Source organism: Homo sapiens, chromosome 1 (assembly GCF_000001405.40).
Source record: "Homo sapiens chromosome 1, GRCh38.p14 Primary Assembly".
In the NCBI taxonomy this organism is placed as follows: Eukaryota; Metazoa; Chordata; class Mammalia; order Primates; family Hominidae; genus Homo; species Homo sapiens.
The window spans coordinates 220,023,279-220,042,777 of NC_000001.11; the positions used below are offsets into that span (position 1 = coordinate 220,023,279).

A 19,499-nucleotide genomic window follows, 5' to 3' on the forward strand; every position below is an offset into this window, starting at 1 on the left:
AGACACTTGCCCTCAAATAATCAAGATAGGTCTAAAAGTCCATTGGTTAGCCACCTCTGAAAATGTAGAAAACCTTTTCAAAATAAAAAAGACTCATTATAACTATTTTAATTTACTAATACTTCCCAAATGTGGCACTCCAGGTTTAATTATAGTGAAGTTCTGACAACATAATTACAGAATGAAAATCACCCAATTTAGAAGTTCAGGAGAGAAGCCATGAATAAGAAAGATATGCTCTTCAGTCAAGTGATATTTCAGAGATACAGGTTAGTACTGAGCTTGTACTATATATTATATTCATATTTACCCACATGCCAAAAGGAAGACTTGGGTGACAACATTATCATCAAACATTGTATTATAGAAAGGCTAAGTATTTAAAGTAAGAAAACTGTAAAATGTTGCAGAAGGAATCCTTCAAATTGAATGAATACAATGCAAAAGACTACACATAATAAGTGAGATACTAAGGGCATATTCACATGCAGTTGTGATGTTAATAAAATAACAAGAACATAAAGATAGAGGAAGAAAAAAGATTTCTAAGACAAATGAGTCATATACCCAAATGTATTTAAACTAGCAGCTTTTGCCAGATACGGTGGCTCATGCCTGTAATCCCGGCACTTTGGGAGGCCAAGGCAGGCAGATCACAAGGTCAGGAATTCGAGACCAGCTTGGCCAATATGGTGAAACCCCGTCTCTACTAAAAATACAAAAATTAGCAAGGTGTGGTGGTGCACGCCTGTCATCCCAGCTACTTGGGAGGCTGAGGCAGAAGAATCACTTGAACCTGGGAGGCGGAGGTTGCAGTGAGCCGAGATCGCGCCATTGTACTCCAGCCCAGGCAACAGAGCGAGACTCCTTCTCAAAACAAACAAACAAACAAAAAAACTAGCAGCTTTCACAAAAAAGAAATCACGTTCTACTAAAGAAGCACAATATAAGAATATCAATTAAAATATAAAACAATGTGGCTTACGGTTTTTTCTATGTTTAGAGTCTATCCTCTGCTCACGTTCTGCTTTCATCTGTTCAGCAGGAGTATCATCCACATAAGCCTTCCCTTCTTGAATTAGCTTCTCTGCATACTTCATTATAGTTTCAAAATGATCCGAAGTATAAGTAAATTGATCTGGTTTGATATGCAACATTGCAACATCTTCCAAGATAACCTGTAGTAAGAAACCAAAATAACCATCAGTATATCTTTTGCATTTTTTCGTGCATTTTCAACCCTTGATACTGCATTTAAGCAAATGTAACATAGACCATCAGTCTTATTTAGCCTGAAAATGGTTGTGGAAGTTACATGATATTAGATCAAAAAAGAAAAAACAGATAGATACTCATTATATTAGCCTCCAAATTTCCAGCTGAGAAAGCTGATCTCACGATGGAGTTTTCCATTTACTTTGGAAAAGCTGGTCATTACTGGGAGAACTGACAATCATTTGCCCTCTCTTTGAATACACTGCCATACTTCTGAATAAAGATAAGAGGCTAGGAAACCTTCACATTTTCCAATACCTACTTAGTGTTTATTTCATTCATAAACTTAAGATTATATGACCAAAAAACCTGCCTCCAGTGACCATTTAATAAATTGGTATTATAGGAAAACATATCATTCAGGTAAACTCTATAACTGGGGAAAGGAAAAATAACTCTTAAGTTTTTTGGTATGGGAGCTCGACATTTCTTGGCTTAGGTCTCAGATATGGAATATATAGATAGGGAAAAAAGCAGCTATGAGAACAAAATTTATTTTCATACCATGAAGGTATTAGGTAATCCTGTAACTTTAATTCACTTTTCTGGCAAAGGGTCATCACTACACTTTTAATTACCTTCTCAAAATCTTCCTTTTCTTTTTCAGGATTTGTGTCATCAAATCTCATGATCAGTTTCCCTTTAAAGTTAACCTGGTAGTGCTGGTTCAGAAGAGCAGCTTTTGCATGCCCAATGTGTAAGTAACTAAAACAAAAACATTTCACAAAGAAACTCATTAACATGTTTTAACTAAATACTTAAACTTAACCTTTTTGAGGAGATGAGAACTAAACAAAAGTCCTTCTAATTGGTACCCAAGTCATATTTTATTTTCTAACAAAAAGTACTGTGATAGAAAATCTGACCCTGACAGGAAAAAAAAAAAAGACTATACCATATATAAAACAATTATAAGAAACAACTTCAAATGTAAAATCTCACAGAGGGGACAAGGTATTTACAAACATTGCAACCTTAAGGAGATTCTCCTTTTTCTTTTTATCAAAAAGAATGATCATTTAATTAAAGTAAAGCTGCTTCAAAATTGTTTCCAACGCTACCTTCCACTGTTTGTCTTTAATAAGACCTACTACTACTGAGAACTGGGTGCCCACCTATGCCACTGGAGAGAAGCTCTTCTGAGACTGTCACTGTGATGACTAAATGAAAAGAGCACATGACAATTAGTAAAAGCCGCTTTACTTCTCTAGGCTTTGGTTTTCTCAGATGCCAAAATAAAAGTTTTTTTTTTTTTTTTTGAGACGGAATCTCGCTCTGTCGCCCAGGCTGGAGTGCAGTGGCACGTTCTCAGCTCACTGCAACCTCCACCTCCTGGGTTCAAGCGATTCTCCTGCCTCAGCCCCCCAAATAGCTGGGACTACAGGCACGCGCCACCATGCCCAGCTAATTTTTGTATTTTTAGTAGAAACGAGGTTTCACCATGTTGGCCAGGATGGTCTCGATCTCTTGACCTCGTGATCCGCCTGCCTTGGCCTCCCAAAGTGCTGGGATTACAGGCGTGAGCCACCGCACCCAGCCAAAAGATTATTTTTTAACTTTAATTTTTTAACTTCTATTTTAGGTTCAGGGGTACATGTGAAGTTTTGTTATATAGGTAAACTCATGTCACGGAGATTAAAAATAAAAGAATTTTAACTAAATAATCCCAAAGGTCTCATCAGCACCAACACTCAATGAATCAGAATCTACAAAAACACTGTTCTGCTGTTCCTGTGAGCAGCTGACAATTGTAAGGAAGAATACAGATCAGAGACACTGTTGATAATATCACACATCAACACCCTCCTTCTATCAAGTACATGAGTAAAAGAAAATATGTTACACCACTATGTTGAAATACAGTTGATTGGGCTGACAAGGCATGAAGCAAGGAAGTTTAATCAGCTTTCACCAACTTGTATTAGTTTCAAATTATAATGATGGCAGCAGTGGTACAGTTTTTTTTGTTGTTGTTGTTTTGTTTGTTTTTTTTTTGAGACGGACTCTCGCTCTGTCGCCCAGGCTGGAGTGCAGTGGCGTGATCTCAGCTCACTGCAAGTTCTGCCTCTCAGGTTCACACCATTCTCCTACCTCAGCCTCCCAAGTAGCTGATACTACAGGTGCCTGCCACCATGCCCGGCTAATTTTTTGTATTTTTAGTAGAGACGGGGTTTCACTGTGTTAGCCAGGATGGTCTCGATCTCCTGACCTTGTGACCCGCCTGCCTCGGCCAGCAGTTGTACAGTTTTAAGATAGTTACCTGGTTTCCCACACAGGTTTGATCTCAGTTGATATCCATATGGGAGGGGGAAAAGTTTATGAAATTATATTATTTTATAAAATAAAATAATATAAAAATTCATAAAAGTTTATGAATTTACATTATTTTCAAATCAATCAAGTTTTTAAAAGTCATTAGCATCCCAGATCAATGATTCAACTTTAAGAAGGGCTTGGGCCGGGCACAGTGGCTCATGCCTGTAATCCCAGCACTTTGGGAGGCGGAGGCGGGCAGATCACGAGGTCAGGAGTTCAACACCAGCCTGGCCAACATGGTGAAACCCCGTCTCTACTAAAAATACAAAAATTGGCCAGGCACGGTGGCTCACGTCTGTAATCCCATCACTTTGGGAGGTCGAGGCAGGTGGATCACGAGGTCAGGAGATCAAGACCATCCTGGCTAACACAGTGAAACCCCGTCTCTACTAAAAAAAATACAAAAAAATTAGCCGAGAGTGGTGGCAGGCACCTGTAGTCCCAGCTACCTGGGAGGCTGAGGCAGGAGAATGGCGTGAACCCGGGAGGTGGAGCTTGCAGTGAGCCAAGATCGTGCCACTGCACTCCAGCCCGGGCGACAGAGCAAGACTCCATCTCAAAAAAAAAAAAAAATTATCTGGGCGTGGTGGTGGGCGCCTGTAATCCCAACTACTCGGGAGGATGAGGCAGGAGAATTGCTTGAACCTGGGAGATGGAGGTTGCAGTGAGCCAAGATCGCGCCACTGCACGCCAGCCTGGACAACAGTGCGAGGCTATGTCAAAAAAAAAAAAAAAAAAAAGGAGGGTTTATATACAAAGACTAATGCAAACAACTACAATGCAACATATTTAGGGCTATTCAAAACTTTATACATATAATAAAGGGCTGTACGCCGGGTGCAGTGGCTCATGCCTGTAATCCCGACACTATGGGAGGCCAAGGCAGGCGGATCACCTGAGGTCGCGAGTTCAAGACCAGGCTGACCAACATGGCGGAACTCTGTCTCTACTAAAAATACAAAAAATTAATTAATTAATTAATTAAAAATTTTTTAAAAAAAGGGCTGTATGTGATATCCCAGATGAAATCTTAGATCAGAAAAGAGATACTAGGGAAAAACTAACAAAATCCCAAAAAAGGATGGAGTTTAATAACATATTAATATTAGTTCATTAGTTGTGACAAATGTACCATAATAATGTAAAATGTTAATGTTAGGAAAAACTGGGTGCAGGGTACATGGAAACTTTCTGTACTATTTTTGCAACTTTGTGTAAATCTAAAACTATTCTAAAATTAAAAATTTATTAAAAATAAAACTAAATGAAGGGCCATAAGTTCCCAGGAAGAAAAATATTGTGGTGTACTTTTAACTTGAGGGCGTTGCACCCAATAACATGTTATAACCATTGTCAAGAAAAGATTAACAATTAGTACCTATTATTTTACAGTTAATGTGCTTGGCTTTAAAATACAGAAATTAATTTAAGAAAGGTGATGAGATCAAAACATTATTTCAAAAATGTTATTTCTAAATCTGCAGGTCTAACAATTCCAAACCTCAAGAAAGCTAAGAGGACTATAAGTCACAAGACAACTAAAATCATCAGTTAAAGAGTGACTCTATATCAGAATCGCTAAAACACACACACACGCGCACACACACACACACACAAAAGAATCATGCTGCATGAGTTAGAACTGATGCTGAATTGGGCTTCTGCCATATGTTAACAGATACATGTAGTACAATTTTTAATTATATGGATTCTAGAGCCAGATGGTAGAGGTTTGAGCTTGGCAAGTTACTACAACATATGAATCTGTTTCCGAAACCATTTGTAAAACAGAGATAACAACAGTGCCTCCTCAGAAGGCTGTTGGGATTAATAAGTTACTATAAGTAAAGCATGTGGTAGCACCTGTACATAATAGGTGCTATGTATATGTTAGCTAAGAATAAGAATAAAAGACTAAGCCAAGCCTTCTGGCCTTTCATTTAAGACACAGAAAAGAAAAAATGAAAAAATAGTAATTAAAGAAAAACTCTTTAACAGTACAAGAAGAGATGATGAAAACTATGCATAGTAAAAAAAACTAAATACTGATTTATATTCCTGACCCCAAAACTGTCTCATGAGCGTAGTCTCTGACATAATTTACAACAGGTAAATATATATTATACTGTAAATATACAAACATGGGGAACTCACTATTCCCAGAAGTGACAGTGACGCAAAATATGAAAAGATTTAAAAAAGACAAATGTTCAAGTGGCGCAGCTAAAAATGGCCACTGCCAAAAAAAGGTGGCTTTTAGACGATCAAGGTCACTATCCAACAGGACAATCATGACCTCTCATACCAAGTGCACAGTAGCAGAATACTAGATGGTAGGAACCCAAGATGTCTATAGATATTAAACCATGTAAGGTAAGTATTATTTATGCCTGAATCCACTTAGTCAATTACCAATCAACCATTTAACGATCAAGTCTGTGAATTTTCCACAGTCATCACTTCTGTTTCATCTCCTTCTATCTACCCTTTATTTCACCTCCTGAATCAGCAAACATAGAAAAGCAGAGACAAAATGTGAAATTCTAAAAGCAATTTTACTGTTAATGATGCTTATGAAATAGTTTGTGAAGAAGTATTAAATACATCGCTAAAAGAAAATTGTTTCTGTATCTTCCAGTTTCTACTGTGTACTATAGAAAGGTGAGAACTTCATTATGGTGATAGAATACAAAATCTGAAAAAATTAAATTTGGAAATCTTAAATTTGGAAAAAATAATCACCTCAATTACAAAACATGGCAGAACATTTTCCTAATGGTTAATTTTCTAAGTGAGGCTAACTGCTTTAATAAGAGGTATTTTATTATATTAACATCATTGGAAGGACGCTATTATAAAGCTTGTCCAGTATACTTCAAATAGGATGACAGGTGTGCAAAGACAAAGACTTCCTTCTCAGCCTTGGGGAATGGTGGGCAAGGGCTGAAGCAGCCCCAGCCTGGTGATCACCATACAGAACAGTCTTTTTCTCTAATGAGCTATTCAAATACTACTTTCCATGGGTGCCAAGAGATGAAGGGGTTGGGAAACCTAATGGAAAGAAAGGAATAGGAACAGGCTTTTCAGGACTCCCCTTCACTTGGGGAAAAAAAATAACTTAAAGACCAATACTATTATAACTTCAACTGCTAATTAAAAGGATTGCTCAGGGTACAAATACAAATCCAATTAAATGAAAGCCCAAAAATCTAAAAATAAAAATGAAATTTAAGGTTTCTTATTTTTGGATATTTTGTTAATTACATAATTAAAGTTCTGTCAGGATAAAACTAAAATGTCTCTTTTACTAAGTTGACAAACTAAAACTACAAATTAAATCAACATTAACTATTAATAACATAAAAACTGTTAAAACGTTTAGAATTTTAACTCTCACAATTAAAATCTTATGTTCTTCTATATTATTAACCTATTAATACTTTAAGTATTTAATCACTGTTTTAAAGCTTTCCCACTAAATATATTCAATTATAAATGTGAGTTACATTTTCTTACCCACTGGCCTCTGGAGGAAATCTGACGGTAACCTTTCCCATCTCCGCACCTGGAAGCTCAACAAATTTCCCAACATCTTGCTTTTTCTCAGGTGCCTGAAAAACACAACCACCATCACAACAAAAAGTCTTATGGTTAAATGTCTAAGAACACACTCATTCAACAAATGTGCCAGGCACTACACACACTGGTTATGAAAAATATGATGACTAGAACATCATCCCTACACTTGAGGGTACAAAATCTGGTTAAGAATATAAATAAAACCAAATACCAGTAATACAGATATGTTCAGGGTGCTGTTAGGGCACTCAGTTGAAATTAATCAGCAATACCTAGGTTTATCAGGAAAAGCTTAAAAGCAGTTAAGAACCAAGCTGGACCTCGAAGATAAGTAGAAATGTATCAGATGGAGTATATGGGATGCTAGGCACGGTGGTTCATGCCTGTAATCCCAGCACTTTGGGAGGCCGAGGATGGCAGATCACTTGAGGTCAGAAGTTTGAGACCAGACTGGCTAACATGGTGAAACCCCATCTCTACTAAAAATGCAAAAATTAGCTGGGCCTGGCGGCGTGCACCTGTAGTCCCAGCTACTCAGGAAGCTGAGGCAGGAGAATCGCTTGAACCTGGGAGACGGAGGCTGCAGTGAGCCGAGATCATGCCACTGCACTCCAGCCTGGGTGACGAGCAAAACTCTGTCTCAAAAAAAAAAAAAAAAGTATATGGGGTATTCATTCTAAGTAAATAAATAACAGAGTAGGTAAGGCACAAAGGCAGGAAAAAGTAGTGCAATGTCCATGAAAAGTTAGGAATGCATATTGGGTGGGTAGGGAAGGAAGCCGAAATAGATTAAGTCAAAAACACAGAGGACCTTTTAAGTTTGGCTTTTAAGTTTTAGGCAATGAGGAGTCAGTCCTCAGGGATAATAGGACCGTGGATTTGTGTTTTCTAAAGTGATACCCTGAACTAGAGAAAGATGAGACAAAAGGAAGTTTAGTTATGAGATTATGGTATTAAACCAAGCAAGGAAAAATTAGGCCTCAACAAAGTGCAGTAGCACTGAAGATGGACAGAAAACAAATCTACACACATGAGAAGTCATAACAGGACTCGTTGAGTAAATGTGAAAAACAGTGAAGGATGAGTAAAGATTTGTAGCCAAAACAACTGAGTGGACTGGGCTATCTTTATCCAAGTAGACAGTAGTTTTCAAATTTTACATTAGAAAACCTTAATTAAATCAAAACTTTACAACACATTCCTAAAGTGTAAAACAGATCAAAGTGGAGCAACTCTGGTAGAGAAAAGGAGCTTTTGTACTGTACACTATGTCACATTTTCCTACAGAACCAATGAAAAAGTGCTGCAGAATCCCAGGACTTGATGCTCAATGGTTCAAAAACCAGGAGATTCAGAAGAAAGAAAAAATTGCAAAGGTGTAAAATTAATGAGGTTTTATTTATATGGAGTTTGGATTGCCTAAGGGACATACACTGGATGATCAAAATATTTAGCTATATAATTATAAAGATTAGGGCTTTATATAGATGAACAATTAAATGTGAAACCAAGACTTAAAAATGTCAGATTCTTGCAAGAAGATCCTTTTAAATTTATTAAAAGAAAATAAACTTTATGAGTAGGAATAATTGTCTTTTCAGACCTAGGGCCTCAGACAGACTGAAATGTCATCTTTTTTTTTTTGAGATAGAGTCTCGCTCTGTTGCCCAGGCAGGAGTGCAGTGGCGCGATCTCGGCTCACTGCAAGCTCCGCCTCCCAGGTTCACACCATTCTCCTGCCTCAGCCTCCCGAGTAGCTGGGACTACAGGCGCCCACCATCACGCCCGGCTAATTTTTTTTTTTTTTTTGTATATTTTTAGCAGAGATGCGGTTTCACCGTGTTATTCAGGATGGTCTCAATCTCCTGACCTTGTGATCCGCCCGCCTCAGCCTCCCAAAGTGTTTTTTTTTTTAAAAAAAAAGAAAAAAAGGCTTACCACTCGAGCTTTGGTTGTTGAAACATCCCACTTGGTACCTACTGACTGGAAGGCCTGCTGGGCTTCAAGAAAGCCAAACCAACGTTTTACATGAACTGGAGCTTTCTTCTGTTTCAACTGTTCTTGCCAGGCAGCATTTCCTATGAGCAAAGATAATTTTAAACTATTCAATAAATCTGCAGCTTCAAAAGCAAAGTTCCAGTTGTGACTAATTGAAGTAATTGAGATGGCTTAAAGTTGTGCTTCTAAAGAAAATGAAATGTTAAATATCTGGATATACACTGAACTGTTTTCTAAAACAGTTAGCTCTCTGTGTCCATGGGTTCCATAACCGTAGATACAACCAACTGAAGACGAAAAATATGCAAAGCTGGGCATGCTGGTTTCTTGGGACCTGGTGAGGGTGGATGATTACAAAGCAGCATGAGGAACTTTTGGGGGTGGTGGATATATTTATTATCTTGATTGTAACCATAGTTCCACAGCTGTGTGTGTGTGTGTATGTATATATACACACACATATATATGTCAAAATTTATCAAAATATACATTTTTAAATAAGTGTGATTTTCTGTATGTCAATTATACCTCAAGAAAGTTGTTTTTGAAAAAACTGTCTTTCCAAGTTGGAAAAAGCATATTCTTACTTGTTCCAAACTAGTTGTAGAAGAAGGAAGTGACCTCCAAGAAAAACCACAACTCCACATCATCCCACTACTCCCTAACCTCCCAGTCACACACTCACTGAGCAATAATGGCTTTTTTCAAGTCAGAGACAAGTGTCTGGAGTAAAATAATAGCTGAAGTAGGAGAGGTGCTAACATAAATGGGATGGGGACTTCTTTATCAGGAATAAGATCAGCTCCAAAGGCAAGAAGGAAGTTGGGGTTGTGAGACAGACGACGGGACGGCAGAAAAACACAGGGAATTCCCGTAGCTGGATAGGAATAAAACAGCCAGGGAGGTCATTCCCCTGTAATAAAGTCCTAAGTTACTGTCTAAACATATATATACACACACATATACATACATGCATACACACAGAAATATATATAATTTTTATCCAGCAAAATATTAAACGATTAAAACAGAGGATTATTAAGAATTATTGATACCTTTTAGGGTGGCCCAAACACATAAATCTGCTAAACTCAAGGAGTTTCCAACTAAGTATGTTCTCAGAGACAGGCAATGATTGAGTTCATTAATTGTAGAAGTAAAGGAATCACATGAAGATAATTTTGTAGCACTGAACTCCAACCAGTGATCAATCTGTCAACATAAAAGACAGAAAAGAAATGCATTCCAACATTTCAACTTATAAAAAGAAAGACCATAAAAAAATTCTAGTTAACTAGAGCAACAGTACACTCTTACTATGCTTTTCCTTTCTCAAATTATACAATTTATCATTATGTGGACTAAATTCTGATTGCCTAAAATCTAAAATAGAACTTAAATAAATGCCACATTTATTTTGCTATGCTTTCTGCTTTTTTTTTTTTTTACAGGAGTGTGGCGGGGCACTTCAGGAAAGAACAGGAAAATAAGAATTTGAGAATTGGTGGCAGAAATAAGCCAACCTGAATGAACCGAAGGGATGGTACCTAGCCAAACAGATTCATTTACTTGAAAAATTTAAAAGTTAGTACTTAGAAACCATTCTGTGTACTTTGAATTTTATGAGATTTAGGAAGGTTAGAGCAGAATACAAACAGGAAAAAAAGCAGCATCTAAAAAGCAGTACTGTCATCTACTGCATAATGACATTTCGGTCAATGACAGACTGCATATATGACAATGGTCCCATAAGATTATAGTTTTATCTATGTTGTCTATGTTTAGATACACAAATACGTATTGTGTTACAATTACCTACTGTATTGAGTATTGTAACTTGCCAGTATAGGTTTGTAGTCTAGAAGGAATAGGCTACACTGTATAGCCTAGGTGGGTAGTAGGCTATCCCCTTTAGGTTTTTGTAGGTACACTCTATGATGTTGACAGAATGATGAAACTGCCTAATAACACATTTCTCAGAACGCATCCCATTGTTAAGAGGCACATGATTGTATATAAAGCTAATTTACTACTGAAATAATTAATTAAACAAGGCATACACTTAGAAAGAAAAGAAAATGGGATCCAAACTATGCGTGTTACCCTGTTCAAACTTAACTTTTCTAGGCCTGCTGCCTTATCCGTAAAGTAAGAAAGTTGGATGAGATGATCTATACAGCCCCATCTGGCTATGAAATGCTAGGAATCTGTGAAGGCCAAGATGGCACTAAATGCTCCCAAAAGTACAGCTGGTAGGGGACTAAAGGTTCAAACTTAGGAATTACAAAAAAAGAATTTTTTTGTGACAAAAAAACAAGATGAGCATTCTGTACCTTGGTCTATATAATTAACACTCTGTTAATATCCTTAAGTAGAATAGTTCATAAGCCAACAATAAATGATGAGGTTCCCATAAAAAAACAGAAGCATAAGACAAAACACACACAACAAAATGTTCATTGCTTACCTCAGTATGTTCCATCAGATTAGAGCCATATAACCCAGCTGTAGTTGCAACTCTAGCCAAGTAGCGAAGTATAGAATTCACATCTGTGAATATCACATTTCTAGAATATAAGCACGAGATAAAATATTACTGCTGCTCTAGCAAATCAGTAAGTCATGAGACTTATGAAGAAATGTAAAAATGGAAACTTTATTATATTTACCATGTATTTTCTACTATAGTAAAAAATAGATCTGTTAATTGTTTGTTTGTTTCAGATGCAGTTTCACTCTTGTTGCCCAAGCTGGAGTGCAATGGTGTGATCTTGGTTCACTGCAACCTCTGCCTCCAGGGTTCAAGCAATTCTCCTGCCTCAGCCTCCCAAGTAGCTGTGATTATAGGTGGCTGCCACCACGACAGGCTAATTTTTTGTATTTTTAGTAGAGACGGGGTTTCACAATGTTGGCCAGGCTGGTCTCGAGTTCCTGACCTCAGGTGATCCACCTGCCTCAGCCTCCCAAAGTGCTGGGATTAGAGGCATGAGCCACCACGCCCAGTCTGCTAATTTGTTCTTTACATGTCTATTCAGAGGTGCAAATATGAAAATATAACTGGGATGTTGAGAATAACAGTGATTTAATATAAATCAAGGCTGGCCAAGTGTGGTGACTCACACCTGTAATCCCAGTACTTTGGGAGGCCAAGACGGGCAGATCACTTGAGGTCAGGAGTTTGAGACCAGCCTGGCTAATATGGTAAAACCCCGTCTCTACTAAAAACACAAAAATTAGCTAGGCATAGTGGCATGCACCTGTGCTCCCAGCTACTCAGAAGGCTGAGGCACAAGAATCGCTTGAACTCACAGTGAGCTGAGATCACACCACTGTACTTCAGCTTGGGTGACAGAGAGAGACCCTGTCTCAAAAAAAATAAATAAATAAAATAAATCAAGGCAAAGGAGCCAAGAATCTATTGCTAATAAAGAGGCTACGAAGGCAGATCAAACCTCATCCAAACCCATCACAAGCCAGGTGTGGTGGCTCATGCCTGTAATCCCGGCACTTCGGGAGGCCGAGGTGGACAGATCACTTGAGGTCAGGAGCTTGAGACCAGCCTGGCCAACATGGTGAAACCCCGTCTCTTCTACAAATATAAAAATTAGCCGGGTGTGGTGGTGGGCACTTATAATCCCAGCTACTCAGGAGGCTGAGGCAGGAGAACTGCTTGAACCCGGGAAGTGGAGGTTGCAGTGAGCCAAGATCGTGCCACTGCACTCCAGCCTGGGCAGCGGAGCAAGACTCCACCTCACAACAAAAAACAAAAAACCACACACTGTTGGTGGGAGTGTAAATTAGTCAAACCACTGTAAAAAGCAGTATGGCATTTTCTCAAAGAGCTAAAAACAGAACTACGATTCAACCCAGCAATCCCATTACTGGCTATACACTCAGAGGAATATAGTTCATTCTACCATAAAGACACATGCATGGAAATGTTCACTGCAGCGCTATTCACAATAACAAAGACATGGAATCCACCTAAATGCCCATCAGTGACACACTGGATAAAGAAAATGTGGTACATATATACCACAGAATACTATGCAGCCATAAAAAAAAAAAAAGATCATGTCTTTTGCAGCAACATGGACGGCACTGGAGGCCATTATATTTAGCAAACTGACACAGGAACAGAAAACCAAATACTGCATTCTCTCACTTATAAGTGGGAGCTTAACGACGAGAACACATGAACACAAAAAAGGGAACAACAGACACTGGGGCTTGAGGGTGGATGTTGGGAGGAGGGAGAAGAGCAGAAGAAATAACTATTGGATGGCTTAGTACCTGGGTGACAAAATAATATGTACAGCAAACCCCATGACACAAGTTTATCTACATAACAAACCTGCACATGTACCACTGAACCTAAAATAAAAGTTCATAAAAGAATAAATTCATTTTTAGCAATGAAACAAAAATACTGCAATCATAAAACAAGATACTAAAAAAAGAGTATCCAGAATGTAAAAAAAACAGAACACTCAGATACTAAAAACATAATAGCCAAAATTAAAAACCTCAATAGAAAAATGGGATAATAAAGTTGAGAAGTTGAGGAACTTTCCAGAAAGTAAAGGAAAAAAAAAAAATGGGCCAGGCATGTTGGTACACACCTGTAGTCCCAGCTACTCAGGGGGCTGAAGCAGGTGTATCGCTAAGCCCAGGAGTTGGATGCTGTAGTGTGCTATAATTGCACCTGTGACTATCCATTGCACTCCAGCCTGGACAGCATACTGAGACCTCCATCTCTAAAAATAAAAATAAAGAGGCCAGGCGTGGTGGCTCACGCCTGTGATCCCAGCACTTTGGGAGGCCGAGGTGGGCGGATCACCTGAGGTCAGGAGTTCCAGACCAGCCTGGACAACATAGTGAAATCCCATCTCTACTAAAAATACAAAAATTAGCCAGGCATGGTGGCACATGCCTGTAATCCCAGCTACTTAGGAGGCTGAGGCAGGAGAATCGCTTAAACCTGGGAGGCGGAGGTTGCAGTGAGCCTGGATTGTGCCACTGTACTCCAGCCTGGGCAACACAGCAAGACTCCATCTCCAAAAAAAAAAAAAAAAAAAATAGAAAGATGGAAAATGGAGGTGACAACTTAGAAAAATAAAGGACTAATCCCAACATCCACATAAAGAACCAAAAATAGAGAGAAAAACATTTTTCAAAGAAAAAATGTTTTCAATTTCCAAAAGCAGGATTTCCAAGTTTCCACAATGAAAGAGGCAACCAAATGCCCAGCAGAACAGATGAAAAATAGACCCAAACTAAAGCATATTATTGTAAAATTTGAGAATACTGACTCCTAAGGGAAGATTCCTCCAAACTTCCTGAAGTCACATAGAAAAGTTCAGAAATCAGAAAGTTTCAGAAGAAAATTACAAAGCAAACAAACACCAATTACTCCATGGAAAACTAACAGTTTTACATGAAAAGCAATTATACTATGTGGCTCAGTAGTAAATAAAACTTACACGGTCATTATAATGTAAATACAGAATGGTAATCAAATGACAATTATGGTACAACTACACTGGGAGAAAGGGGGAGATAGAGAGCAGAAGTTTATGAGTATGGGGTGACTGTGTGTATGTAGTGGCAACAGGGGAAAGTGTTTCAGCTTTATCTTTTTTTTTTTTTTTTTGAGATGGAGTTTCACTATTGTTGCCCAGGCTAGAGTGCAATGGCACAATCTCAGCTCACTGCAACCTCCACCTCCCGGGTTCAAGCGATTCTCCTGCCTCAGCCTCCTGAGTAGCTGGGATTACAGGCATGCACAACCATGCCCGGCAAGTTTTGTATTTTTAGTAGAGATGGGGTTTCTCCATGTTGGTCAGGCTGGTCTCGAACTCCTGACCTCAGGTGATCTGTCTGCCTTGGCCTCCCAAAGTGCTGGGATTAAAGGCCTAAGCCACCACACCCAGCTCAGTTTATCTTTTTTTTTTTTTTTTTTGAGACAGGGTCTCCCTCTGTCATCCATGCTGGAGTGCAGTGGTGCGATCCTGGCTCTACTGCAACCTCCGTCTCGTGGGCTCAGGTGATCATCCTGCCTCAGCCTCCCAAGTAGCTGGGAGTACACCCAGCTAATTTTTCCTCTTTTTTTTGTAGAGACAGGATTTTACTATGTTGCCCAGGCTGGTCTCAAACTGCTGAGCTCAAGCAATCCACTCGCCCGGCCTCCCAAAGTGCTAGGATTACAGGCTTGAGCCACTGCGCCTGGCCACATACCCTGTTTCATAGGGGAGCAGAAAGATAGGGAATGCAGATAATTCTTTTGAGCAAAGTAAATCATCAGAATAAATGGACCAGGAAGTGGGCGCAGGGAGGTGAGGGAGCAACATTAAAGGAAGATAAGAAACAGAGCGGCACAGGAACAAAGACTGTCTTATTACACGTGTAAAGTCACCTAGGTAATATCTTGAAGCTGCCCTCAGAAGAGCAGGTGAAGTCTGTCTGAGCTGGGATTGACTGACCTTTCCAGATTATTTGATGAGATCCACAAGGAGGGGACTTAAGTCAACTGCATTTCTTTTGGAAAGATGCTTTCTTGGCCAGATGAGGAAATTCTAGAAAGTCCCTCTCTATATGATGGGGGAAGTGGGCATGTTGGGTTGTGAAAGGAAACAAGGTTACAGGTACCCTGATTCTGAGGTAGCTTCTAAGGCCTCTCAGCATGTCAAAGCGCCAGTCTTTGGGGTATTGCTTTCTGAAGCAACATTCCCCTGTCTGAAACTTCCCTAGAAGTTTCAGTTAAAAGCTGAGTTGGTGGTTGTACAGGAAAAAATCAACAGCTGGGTGCCAAGGGATCCCATTAAACCAGTCACTCATTTCTGGGAGTAGGCCAGTCCAATTAAATAACCCTGCCTCATTTCAGGAGCTGGTGTTGCAGATGGGCTCTCAAAGCTAGACCTCTAGTTCCTTTTAAACAGACTACATGGGGAATCAGTTTGCTGAAAAATTTAAGTCTCTAGATTCAATTCTTTTAGAATAAAGAAAAGTATACTTCTTTCTAGGGACAATCTACTTAATTAGTAAGTAAAACAAGCATACAACATTTAATGCTGATTTTTTTTTTTTTTTTGAGACAGAGTCTAACTCTGTCACCCAGGCTGGAGTGCAGTGGCGCGTTCTCGGTTTACTGCAACCTCCGCCTCCCAGGTTCAAGCAATTCTCCTGCCTCAGCCTCCCAGGTAGCTGGGATTACAAGCATGTGCCACAACACCTGGATAATTTTTTGTATTTTTAGTAGAGACAGGGTTTCACTGTGTTACCCAGGATGGTCTCGATCTCCTGACCTCATGATCCGCCTGCCTCAGCCTCCCAAAGTGCCGGGATTACAGGTGTGAGCCACCGCGCCCGGCGATGCCGAATATTTCTTTAAATGCCATTCAGAGGCCAAACGTGGTGGCTCACGTCTTTAACCCTAGTGCTTTGGGATGCTGAGGCCGGAGGATGGCTTGAGGCCAGGGGTTCGAAACTGGGCTGGGCAACACAGTGATACCCCATCTCTACAAAAAACATTTTTTAATTAGCCAGGTGTGGAGGCATGTGCCTGCAGTCCTAGCTACTCGGGAGGCTGGGATGGCAGGATCCTGAGTCCACGAGTTCTAGGTACAGTGAGCTATGATCATGCCAGCCTGGGCAAAAGAGGGAGACTCTGTCTCTAAAAAAACTCTAAAAAAAAGAAAAAGCCAATCAGTACTGAAAATAAAAAGATGAAAACACTTACTCAGAAACATGAAGAATATTCTCTTTCCCTTCTTCAACGGAAATGCTGACATCGTCTTTCACGTGTTCTACTGCCAGCAAAGCTCCTATAAATAATATGAAAAGATTTTTTATCTTTAAAAGCAATGCAGTATTTATAACTTGAATCATAAAGCAATCAGGATGAGTCAACAAACCAATATTAAGTCCTACAAGGAGTGAACTTTTTTCTCAGTAGTCTGTAGACAGAAAATGTAGTCTTTTGTCTCAGAGCAGCAACAAATCAGAATCCAGAATCCATTCACTAGCATATCCAACTGGTTTTGAATTTGTTCAGCTTTCAGTTAGAGACACTGAAATTAATCTGCTTCTCCCTTCGGAGACAAAAAGAAATTAGTATAGTGCCAGCCAGGCATGGTGGCTCATGCCTATAATCCCAGCACTTTGGGAGGCCAAGGCAGGCGGATCACCTGAGGACAGGAGTTCAAGACCAGCCTGACCGACATGGAGAAACCCCGTCTCTACTAAAAATACAAAATTAGCCGGTCATGGTGGCGCATGCCTGTAACCCCAGCTACTCGGGAGGCTGAGGCAGGAGAATCGCTTGAACCTGGGAGGTGGAGGTTGTGGTGAGCCGAGATTGAGCCATTGCACTCCAGCCTAGGTGACAAGAGCAAAACTGCGTCTTAAAAAAAAAAAAAATAGTATAGTGCCTTATATAAAAGCTTTTGTTAATATGTTGACCTTGGATTTTTAAAAAACTAAAAAAAAAAAAAGAAAAAAGCTATCGTTAATAGTATTTGAGTGACTATTATATCTTAGTCACTATGCCAAATGCTTTACAGTTAGAATTTTTCATCTTTGGGGTAACCTGTAGAGTTAGATTCAAAGGACATGATATCTCAAGCCTATAATCCCAGCACTTTGGGAGGCTGAGGTGGGAGGACTGCTTGAACCCACAAGTTCAAGACCAGCCTGGGCAACATAGTGAGACCCCGTCTCTACAAAAAAATACAAAAATTAGCTAGGCATAGTGGTACACACCTGTGGTCCCAGCTACCCAGGGGGCTGAGGTGGCAGGACTGCTTGAGCCTGGGAAGTCATGGCCGCAGTGAGCCCTGATTGCACCACTGCGTTCCTGCCTGAATGACACAGCGAAACTGTCTCAAAAAAAAAAAAATGAGAGATACTTTCATCCCCATTTTACAGAATAGGAAAGTAACGCTTAAAGGAGTTAAATAACCAGCCTAATGTCCTTGACAAAATATATAGCAGTCAGGATCTGAATGCAAGCCTCATGTAGTCCACAGCTCAAACTCTAAAACAGTGTAAAATGGCCTCTTGACACTTAATTGATTCATTAATCCTCTGTCCCTTAATTTGATTAAGATAGACAGGCCAGGCGCAGTGGTTCACGCCTATAATCCCAGCACTTTGGGAGGCTGAGGTGGGTGGATCACCTGAGGTCGGGAGTTCGAGACCAGCCTGACCAACATGGAGAAACCCCATCTCCACTAAAAATACAAAATTAGCCAGGTGTGGTGGCACATGCCTGTAATCCCAGCTACTCAGGAGGCTGAGGCAGGAGAATCACTTGAACCTGGGAGGCGGAGATTGTGGCAAGCCAAGATTGCACTATTGCACTCCAGCCTGGGCAACAAGAGTGAAATTCTGTCTGAAAAAAAAGATGGACAACTAGCACCCAGATACTGGTTTATAAACACCATGTTCCACTGGAAACAGGGCTGTGGCAAGGAAGGTGCAAAATAAACCTGAAAAATCTTATTGTGTTAGAAAGCAAAGGAGTACTCAAAGATAGAGAACATATATGTCGAAAGGACATAGAGTCTCTACTAAAAATACTAAAAATTAGCTGGGCGTGGCAGCACAGGCCTGTAGTCCCAGCTACTTGGGAGGCTGAGGCAGGAGGACCACTTGAACCTAGGAGGCGGAGGTTGCAGTGAGCCGAGATCACGCCACTGCACTCCAGCCTAGGTGGCAGAGCAAGACTCCGTCCCCAAAAAAAAAAAAAAAAAAAGGCCACATGCAATGGCTCATACCTGTAATCCTAGTACTTTGGGAGACTGAGGCAGGCGGATTGCCTGAGCTCAGGAGTTCGAGACCAGCCTGGACAACATGGTGAAACCCCATCTCTGCTAAAATACAAAAAATTAGCCAGGCGTGGTGGCATGTGCCTGTAGTCCCAGCTACTTGGGAGGCTGAGGCAGGAGAATTGCTCGAACCTGGGAGGTGGAGGTTTGCAGTGAGCCAAGATCGTACCACTGCAGTCCAGCCTGAGCAACAAGAATGAAACCCCATCTCCCAAAAAAAAAAAAAGAAAAAAGAAAGAAAGGACAGAGTCCAGGTTGGAGGGGCTTCCACTGGCAAATCAGGGTAATGACATCGAAATAAATGAGATCAATTTTAGCACACCCATACAATGAAATTTTATCCAGCAAATAAAAAAATGAACTACTGGCCGGGCGTGGTGGCTCATGCCTGTAATCCCAGCACTTTGGGAGGCTGAGGGGGGCGGATCATGAGGTCAAGAGATCGAGACCATCCTGGACAACATGGTGAAACTCCGTCTCTACTAAAAATACAAAAAATTAGCT

General features: G+C 40.0%; 1 protein-coding gene across 1 annotated transcript in view, besides 1 other annotated feature; it reads right to left on the reverse strand.

Annotated features, from left to right (window-relative positions):
• EPRS1 (glutamyl-prolyl-tRNA synthetase 1) overlaps nt 1-19,499 on the reverse strand; it is a 77,906-nt gene that overhangs the window by 54,679 nt on the left and 3,728 nt on the right. The window contains exons 2-8 of the mRNA NM_004446.3: nt 16,907-16,991; nt 11,636-11,735; nt 10,224-10,380; nt 9,109-9,248; nt 7,108-7,202; nt 1,854-1,980; nt 986-1,178 (exon numbers count right to left, since the gene is read on the reverse strand). Coding sequence (NP_004437.2) covers nt 986-1,178; nt 1,854-1,980; nt 7,108-7,202; nt 9,109-9,248; nt 10,224-10,380; nt 11,636-11,735; nt 16,907-16,991 — 897 coding nt within the window. The remainder of the gene's footprint in view (nt 1-985; nt 1,179-1,853; nt 1,981-7,107; nt 7,203-9,108; nt 9,249-10,223; nt 10,381-11,635; nt 11,736-16,906; nt 16,992-19,499) is intronic.
• Nucleotides 3,453-3,954: an enhancer, noted in NCBI's record as "H3K4me1 hESC enhancer chr1:220200073-220200574 (GRCh37/hg19 assembly coordinates)". NCBI's record gives its function as "activates a minimal SCP1, AML or CMV promoter by ChIP-STARR-seq in primed H9 embryonic stem cells {active_cell/tissue: H9 hESC(primed)}" and the evidence as "EXISTENCE:reporter gene assay evidence [ECO:0000049][PMID:30033119]".